The following is a 9978-nucleotide window of genomic DNA, read 5'->3' as shown; positions in this document are numbered from 1 at the left end:
TTTAAAAAAAGTTTTTCAAAGATCTTGTCTAAAATCCTCTAATATACTTTGGCTGTGCTCCCATCCAAATCTCATCTTGAATTCCCACGTGTTGTGGGAGGGACCTGGTGGGAGGTAATCATGGGGGCAGGTCTTTCCTGTGCTGTTCTTGTGATAGTGAGTAAGTCTCATGAGATGTGATGGTTTTATAAGGAAGAGTTTCCCTGCACAAGCTCTCTCTTTGCCTGCCACCATCCACATAAGATGTGACTTGCTCCTCCTTGCCTTCCACCATGATTGTGAGGCCTCCCCAACCACGTGGAAGTGTAAGTCCTTTCATTAAACCTCTTTCTTTTGTAAATTGCCAAGTCTCAGATATGTCTTTATCAGCAGAGTAAAAACAAACTAATACAGCCATTTTTTATATCATCATACAGCCTATTTTTTTCCTCCGTATTCACTTACAGCTTCCAGATCCCTCATTGCTAAAGTGAGGTAACATCCTAATGTCTAATCTCTGGGGTAAACATTTTTAAGTGAATCAACATGTGGGCAGTTAAGAGCAGCAGCAGTTTTTAGCAGACCTAACATTTCCTGGCAATCAATTCCTGCATGTCCTTAGTCATCCTCTGACCATTATTTATATCCTCACTTGTCTTCATCCCTCTGAATTAAAGTGCCCTAAACAGAACACTCTCTTATATCATGTGATGATCACTGCCTTCTTTCTCGGAGCACACAGCTCTGGAATAATTTATTTTATCACTTTCTGGCAAAGAGTTCACAGGCCTCTTCTGAATGAGAGCAACATAGTGAGTCAAGGGCAGCAAGTCTAAGAAGCCTCTGACTTGATGAATATCTAGAGAGTCTTGTACTGAAACTTCCTCCCATATATTCACTTTGATTAATAGCAAATGGGTCCACATTTCGATCTGGAAATGTCCTATCTCAAGGAATCTTGAGGCTGACCCTAGGTGAGACAAATACCTTTCCAGACCTGGAGGTCCATATCATCAACTGGCTTCGAGAAATCAATGAGCTGTTTATACCACTGCATTCAGATCATCTTAAAATGCCCAACCAGTGTCAGGCTAGAAAACTCCACACTTAGCATATATCTTTTTAATACTTTTTGTGAAGAAAAATCAGTCTTTTACCTTCAAGTTGTCTAACTCATGACACCCTGGTCATGGCCATCAAGCCTTACAAATTTAGTCCAGAAATCATGGTAAATTGGAGCCAAGTTTTGACACAATAAAGTGTCTTCTAATCCAATATGTCATCATATTAGAAGGCTGAAGTGATTAAAAAGGAGAGGAAACATTTCCATTTTTCTATGGAATATGCTTTTTGTGGCCTCTAATACCCTGAACCTAGATGAATGGTGAGAGAATAAAACTTACAGTATCACAATCTGCTTTTAATTCTATTTCACTGTTACTGTTCATTTATGCAAGTATTTGTCACTTCTTCCTTTAAGCCCAAATGGCACCTCCATCAGGTAAATACCCCACCATCTGTCAATGTGCTTACCATTTTTTTCTTCATGTTATGCAGTTTCTAGCATAGTTTTCCCATATTGTGCTTTGATGAATATTTGTATACCAAGGAAATCATAACAAATCTTCCATAAAACATGTCCTATATTCTAGTGCATTTGGGAAACATTGCATACCATCATTGTCCTCCAAAGTCACCATGGTTATTAGTATATTAGCAGGTTGGAAAAGTCCTATAATAGAGAAACCTGCTTGATTCTGTGTTTCTTAAACTCATTTTCACCACAAAATACTTGTATGGGGTATGTGTGTGTGTGTGTATGTGTGTGTGTATCTCACTGAATAACAACTCTGGAACATAAATGTCTGGAATGCTGTTCTGAAATAAAGAAGCTACACCTGCTGATTCTATTTTCTCACTCATATTACTGTATTAAATCTGCAATCTCGAAGTATACCAGCAATCTCCAAAAAGTAAAACCAGTTATTGATTTTGGTTTCCTCCAATTATTATTTGATTTGACTTTTTTGAAGTAGCCTGCACAATCAACAACGTATACATTCTTCAAACTCCCCACTTGGATTTCATAATTTTTATCATTATTATCAACTATTTATCTCATTTTTTGAATGCTCATAATGTCCAGTGTCCTGACTTCTTAGCCTGGCATTCCAGATCCAGCTGTATTTTCTATCCATGTCTCTTTCTAAGCACATCCACTGATGTTTATCATCTGTCCGGACTGAGCCACTCACCATCCCACCAAAATATCTGGTGCTTTTTCATCTCAGTGCATGTATTCATCCTGTTTTTGTTAACAAGGTTGCTGTTCCCTTCTTCTGTTGCTTAATCTTACTCATCTTGAATGCTGATGACCTTTCCTGACCCAGGCTTCTCTCATCATTTTTGTAGTTTTTTTTTTTTAATCAGTTTTCCTCATTTAGACTGTAAATTTCATAAAGGTAATGACTATACATGTGTTCCTACATACTAAATATCCATCTTAGTTCAGTGCATGACAAGTAATCTGTAGATGTTCCATAAACAGATGTTGGATTCAATCTAAATTTTTTGAATTCTATAGTCCATGTTTCTCATTGCCTTCTCTCTCATTTTGCATTAGTGTCCACTGCTTTGTCTTGGTAGTTGCCATTTTGGATTGTGTACTGCATTAATCATCTTAAATATACCACCCTCTATGACCCTAGAGTTTGGGAATTATGTGCATTTTTATACCGTTAGCAACTAGGATAGTGGCTGATACATAATAAGTACTAAATAAACCTTGATAGGTTGGCTAGTTAATTCAGGGGACAGTGTAAGTCTCTTTTCTCTCGTGAAGTTTTCCTATGCTGTGGCCCATATTAAGCTTCTCTCTCATTCCTTCCTAGCAGTTACTGTCCCTCCAGCTCATATTTGTAGAATTTGTTTCATACGTGTGTCAAGTTTCTTCTATCGAGCTTGTGAATGCTTGAAGGGTGAAAATCTGTGTTTAACGGTTTTTGTCCTCCAAATAGGTAAGAACATAATAGGAATTAAGTTTAAATGGAAAGAAGCTGAATTGGTCATACTACATTTCACTTTATTATTATTAACATTTATCATACACGGTTACTATTCCAATCTTTCATGCAGACAAAAATAAACAATATAAAATACATAATGCACTTTGATAATTTTAACCATACATAAAATATGGAGTAATGGAAGCTATGTTACATGGATATTTTACAAAGGAAAAAAAGATGACTTTTATAATAACACATCCAGATGAAATTTATCATTAAATTTTGGATTTCATATGATGTTAAGTATGGATATATTCAAAACAATTACTATTTATAGAACCAATTTGATATTTTGTCATTTAAAATAATGAATACTATGTAAATGAGTACTTATAAAAATATTTTTAGGCAAAAAGCTCTGTTCTACTCATTTACTTGCCAGTTACAAAAATATATATTCATCTGAAACTCTAATAAATTTGCTTGAGGCATTAGATATTCAAATTCAAATGCATATTTTCTAAAGCGTCTTACCAATTTAGTGTTCTTGGCTACATACAGTATATTTGTATATATGATATTAGGTTTGTGTTACAAATAATGCCATTTTAAGCAAAAGACACAGATGATCAATAACACACAGAGACACCACGAAGGTTTTCAAATCAAACATGTCCACACATATACCAGCCCCAACAGCTGTGCCTTGCACAAAGTGAATTCTCAAAAACATTTTTCGGATGAATGCTTGATCAGATAGCATTTATCCTGTTATTCGCACCTAAAATTAACTCTCCAAAGCTATTTCTAGTAGAAATGCAATTTTAAAATTTAACAATTTTGTTCTAAATTAGTTATTTCTCAATGGCAGAGCCAGGTCAGTTGATTCCAGATTGAACAGCAAAGTAGTGTCAGTGATCAAAAGACCAGGTACATTTACACATGGTTGGACAGCTCTGATGCTTACAGTAAGACATTCATTCAATACATTGAACAACTCGATTTGTCGTACATTCATACAAAACAAAACAATCTTATTAATTTTTATAACATTATCACAAACACTAGTAAATATAATAATATATATAGGCATATACATACACATATATATCTCATTTAGTAGACTTAGTAGACTTCAGGTATCTCTTCTCAGCGAGAGGAGCAAGCTATCCTGAGTGAAGCAGGCCTTGTGTCTACATAACAATTGCTCAATGATGCACAGACCACACTTTAACAGTCTTCCATGTATGACCAGCAGACTGTTGGCAGTATGAATGCTGACATCACTGTTAATGCCAAGCCTTTGAAGCAGTAACATTTTTGTGAAACCAAAGACTAACTGTAATGACTAGTATGGAGTTGTAGCACCTAGGAAGATAATGGTCAATATTTGTTCAATGGAATATCCTGGGGCCATTTTTGGTACAGACCCCTCTTGTAATTTTCCCCCACCTGTTCTGCTTCATGCAGGGTGAAACTTTGCTGAGGCTCATCACTAAAAGTTCAAACATTCGATAGAAGACAGATTATTTTTCTCAATCAAAATTCAGATCACTTTAAGTCATTTCAAAGCTTGGCCCTAGTACTTAAGCAGGACAACCGACAATTCATTTAGCAAATTGGTTAGTATATATATGTGTTAATGAAATTACTGCTATGAGAGAGTTCTTAAGTGATAATTTAGTAAGATAATTCACATAACAATGTCTTTAAAAATTAAACATAGTTTCCAAAAATTCACAAGCAATTTAGTCAAATATTAAAGGTTAGTTTCAATACCACTAGTGCATAAAGTCTAAAAACGACCTTTAAAGTAAAATGTAAAGTAAAAGTGACCTTAAAGTAAGACTATTCATTTTAAATTTCAATATTATGGCTTTTCAGAAGTATAAGTGAATAACTGCTCTGCATTAAATCATGCTACACAGGAAAAGATCTACTTCAACTAACAAAATAATACTTCAGTATTTTAAATGCAAAGGTATTAGTTTCAAAACACAGAGTCATTTACTCTCAATTGAACACTTCCAAATCAATAAATGCTAATTTTGTCTATAAAATGTACAAGCCCAAAGGACTGAAAATAGTGTGTTTTGTTAAATTAATTAACATGACCCTTAGGCTTTGTTTACCCATTCATTTTTTTGGCTCTCAAAGTTAGTATCAAGGTCAATTTCATTTCATTCTGAATGTAATGATCCCAAAATTTAAATTAATAGACTCAGAACCAATGTCATTTCAACGTCATATATATTATAGTATCATAAAAAGTTTACCTAATTTTAAATTGATTTAAAATTTGCTGCAAGAAGAGTGGCCAATGAATGCACAATGAACCCAAGCCACCAGAAGAATGTGTTTTAAAGAGACAGAAAACAGTATGAGACTTCAGATTTGCGAACTGATAAAATAAAGCTTATACTATAAATTCAATATTATATATCCAATATAAGTAAAACTAGCACAGAAATTATCTCCCCATTTTCTCTCTTTAAATAGGAATGGAAATACATGTAAAATTCTAATCTTCTCAAATTTTTCATACTTTAATATCACATTAAATTTTGTAATATTTGGAATTAATATTAGAAAAAATTATAGGAGATAATAGAATGCTTAAAAAGTATTGACTATGAATTTTTAGTTCACAATTATTTTTGAGTCAGGCTCTAAGTTAAAATCCAAACTTTCTATGCATGACCTTCCCTTTTAGGTTGGGGGGCGGTGGGAGTTGTCCATGCTCAGAACCTGGAAGAAGTTAGCAGGTTTTAGCAGTATTTGAAGGTGCACTGGTTATAGAGGAGCATGTAGCATTAAGGTAAACACATCCTAAAACCTCAAGGCCATTTAATGCCCAATGTCACATGGAGGTACATATGGCATTGAAAAAATTGTCATTATTCATTCATCCATTAGGTATGTTTTTTACTCTTACCACTGTGTTGGAATTATAATAAAGTTGTATGAGATGTACTATCTAAAACTGTTATTTTTGATGAGGAGGAACATGATACAAAATAGTTTTTCAGATTGCAACACTGTTGAGTTACCTCAAAATGTGCATCCAGAGTTGTAAAATGTCCAGGAAACACTATAATTTTCATATAATTAAAGCATTTACATATTTCCATTCACCGTTTTTTAATACAAGATGTATAATTTAATGACAACACATGCCGCATAACTCCAAATTTACTTACAAATCATCGTAATATTACAATAGTTCTTATATTGATAAGGAAAAGTAGCATAATGCATTAAGAAGGCAGACTTCCTGGGTTCAAATTTTGGTTCTACCCCTTGTCAATCATGTGACTTTGTGCAAGTCACTGGGTTATTCTTTGCTTTGGTTCCTCAACTCTAAAAATGGGCGCGATAAAAAGAGTACCATGTCACGTCATTATTATGAGGATTAAGTGAAGCAATAACAACAGAATACAGGCAAAGCATTTGGAGGTATTACTGGGCATGTAGTAATCCCTTAATAAGTGTTAGCTACAATTTTTATTACGATCAGAAGTTAGAGTGACTGATGTTAATATAAACCATTACTAATTTTTGAGCATTTAGTAAGTACCAAGCATGATAGACGACACACTTATGTTTAACCCTAAAAATAATATGAAGCACATTCTATTATGAAGAAAGTAGATCCTTAAAAATATAAAATATGTTAGCTTATAAATACCACAATATAGCTGATAATTTGCCCCATGAAATATGGCAAAGTACAACTGAAATCATTTTAATGACCCTTGCATGCCTCTAATGAGGATTACTGCTTCCAGGATGGTGATGAGAAAACAGTCATGACAATATGAAAGGACTTGCTAGCTAATCAGCTGTGTTCCTTTATTAGTCCTACAAATGTTAAATCCTTGAAGGTTATTTTTGTAAAGATATCTTTATTAAATTCAAAATGTTCAACTTTTTCTTGAAAACTCTGATGTTAGGTTCCTTGTTTTTCATTGTATATGGACTTCTCACAAAAGTCTCTAGAGCTTCTGTGCCAAATAACAATTATTATTACCTTACCTAGTAGTATACACATATTGCCTACACATGTAACATGGTATTTTTGTTATTCAATACATAATGGTTAATGATAAAGGTTTTAATAATAGTTTGAAAACCATGATCAAATTTCATAAATTAAAATTTAATAATGGGCCGGGAGCAGCGGCTCACGCCTGTAATCCTAGCACTTTGGGAGGCTGAGGTGGGTGGATCACTTGATGTCAGGAGTTCAAGACCAGCCTGGCCAACATGGTGAAAACACGTCTCTACTAAAAATACAAAAATTAGCTGAGCATGGTGGTGCACACCTGTAGTCCCAGCTCCTGGGAGGCTGAGGCAAGAGAATGGCTTGAACCCAGGAGGTGGAGGTTGCAGTGAGCCAAGATTGCACCACCGCACTCCAGTCTGGGTAACAGAGTGAGACTCAGTTTCAAAAAATAAAAAAAAAATTAATAATAGTTTGCACATAATTTAGATATGAAAAGCATTTCACATACTAAATTAGTGTAAACCCATATAATTATCACAATCATGAGTGTTTTGTTTGAAAATTATGGATTTAAAATAAATATTACTGTATTTACTATGCTAAAAACAATGTTATTGCATCAATGTAGAAATGATAAACATTACATATACTTTAGAATAAGGATAGAATACACCTTGTGCATCCATAAATTACAAGTCCCCTAATGGTCCTTTTAAAGTACAAATAAAGCCTTATTTTCATATCTTATACATATATCTTAACAGAAAAATTCTCATGATGGTGTATTCTTTGAAGAGTCTGACCTCTCATATGAGAGCCTTCATAAAATTAAGAGTTTTAGGTATCTAACTTAAAGGTTTAGTTTTAAAATAGGCTTACAGTCCCCTTCTTCATCCTGGTTCCCCTCCCTGATCCCCAGGGCACTTCCCTGATCCCCAGGGCCATTATGGCACAGCACCCAGTATTCATGGCCCAAGGAAGCCATGCCCATTGCAGACACCAAAAATAGCATTGATTTGCTAGAGCTGTCCACAAGAATAAAGGATGCCCAAAGGCAGCTAGAAGAAAGTGAGTCCTGCTGGAGGCCTTAGTCAGCTTTCTTCTCCTCTAATAAGAAATAAGCCCTTAGGAGAAAGAGTAAAGCATGCTTTTCCACCTTTTACACATTAATGACTTTCTCTCTTGCAAATGGGGGACTGAAAATGTATAGCACACAGTCTATATTGTCCTTAACATTTCTCATGATGATTTGCAAGATGTCGCCAGGTTTCTTCAATAATGGCCTTCTTCAAGAGGAACTCTCCATTATTACATGTGTCCACTTGGGAAAGATGAAAACAAGCATAATAAAACCATTTTAATGAATGGGAGAGGAGGCATGGTGGTTAATTTTTAAATCTCTAATATTTTTTTCTTTATGTCCCAGGGATGGATTTTACTCTAAAAGTGAATACTTAATGTCAATACAGAGAGACATCAGTTCGTGAAGCTGAACTGTCTGATTGAACTTCTATCCATTTCCAGCATAAATATCAAAGTATAAACTGATCACTACTTGTTTGCAATGGGAAGAAAGATTTACAGAAAAAAAAAAAAAAAAAAGCATTGATGTATCTTCAGTGGAGAATGTTTAGCCAGCATGTAGTTTGTCTAGTCCAGCATTCAGGAGCTTCTGCCTGCCTGGTTTCTTGGGAGTTCTTTTCATTCTTCTCCAGCTGGGGGAGGTGGCTCGCACAGCTTGTACAGCCTAGAAAAGGCATGGTAAAGTTTGACAGTGACTTAGTGTATTACCATTACATGAGGTGTCTTTATTGGTAGAACAAATACATTGATGATAATTTCTTGTTTCGTGAGTCATGATCGGATTGTCTATTTCACTAAAAATAACATATGAATTGGCAAACTCCAAAAATTAGATTCTATGATTTAGAAAACACCAGTGCCCCTCTGCATAGCTTGATGGCTGTGGATGAAGCAATCCTGAATTTTTTAAACCTGCTGCTTTTTCTCCAGTGCCAACCGCCCAGGCTGTTCACCACACTTGTGGTAAAACCTACTCTCTGGATTCCAGGAAATGATATTATTACGATAATTACCATCATGTCTATCATGATTATTTTGTAGCAAGATGGCACCTATCTCATAGGGGTCTACTGATTTTCTGACTTGTTTTAGAAATGTGCTTCATTTTGTACTATCCCCAGAGTGCAGGCAGTTGGCTGTGGATAGGCTGACATGGCAAGATTCCTGAGACCTAAATCTCAAAGGCACAATTGGCTAGAGTTTCCTAAGGATAAATTACCCAGCTCTGCCCAGGGCCCACTCACCCGACTGTGGGCTCTCCAAGTGGGTCAAGGATCCACTTAAACCATGGAGATGCCTGGAAATGCTTCCCATTGCAGCCCAGGTCTAGTTGTTCAAGACTATACAGCATTCAAGGAAAACTCAGGGGGTTTAACTACAGTCACACAAGTTCTGGTGCTCCACATTCTCCTCAGTGGTTAAATGATAACAGCAGAACCAAAGTAAAAGGGAACATAATAGCTGCTTGATAGCCCTAGTGATCTCAAGGCCATATGCATTACTTACAGCATATCCTGAGAGATTGATTGGCTGAACTAAAATGCTGGATTGGACTATGCCTGTTCTCTAAACAGCACCCATGGCCACACTGGTCCCACTGCAGAGCTTGGACTAATGATGTCAAAATATAAGCTGCAGATTTCCACATGGCATCTTTTCATAAAAGCACTACAACCCAGGACTAGCTGTGGTGATTCAATCCCTTTTACCGACTAAATTGAAAACAGCTTCAATGTTGTTGATCAATTTAGCAAATTATAAATTTCCTCTCCCTTTGACATTTAATCCCATGCTAATTATAGATCAAAGGAGAAGAATGAGCAAGATTTAATATTGAGTTATAACTCCTGGTTAACAAAATGAGCTTTCCTAGTATGAGAACACGTAGAAGAAGCTATTGAC

At 35.4% G+C, this 9978-nt stretch overlaps 1 protein-coding gene across 2 annotated transcripts in view, besides 1 other annotated feature; it reads right to left on the bottom strand.

Annotated features, from left to right (window-relative positions):
* Nucleotides 472–672: a silencer, noted in NCBI's record as "peak7062 fragment used in MPRA reporter construct". NCBI's record gives its function as "represses an SCP1 promoter by STARR-seq MPRAs in K562 erythroleukemia cells {active_cell/tissue: K562}" and the evidence as "EXISTENCE:reporter gene assay evidence [ECO:0000049][PMID:32103011]".
* The window catches only part of PREX2 (phosphatidylinositol-3,4,5-trisphosphate dependent Rac exchange factor 2), a 284987-nt gene continuing 278049 nt past the window's right edge, over nt 3041–9978 (bottom strand). For both annotated transcript variants that reach the window (NM_024870.4, XM_047422267.1), the window contains exon 40: nt 3041–8740. In NM_024870.4, coding sequence (NP_079146.2) covers nt 8695–8740 — 46 coding nt within the window. In that variant the 3' untranslated portion in view covers nt 3041–8694. The remainder of the gene's footprint in view (nt 8741–9978) is intronic.

This window comes from Homo sapiens, chromosome 8 (assembly GCF_000001405.40).
Source record: "Homo sapiens chromosome 8, GRCh38.p14 Primary Assembly".
Lineage (NCBI taxonomy): Eukaryota > Metazoa > Chordata > Mammalia > Primates > Hominidae > Homo > Homo sapiens.
Note: the sequence above shows the minus strand (reverse complement) of the source record. Positions and strands in the feature narration are given on the sequence as shown.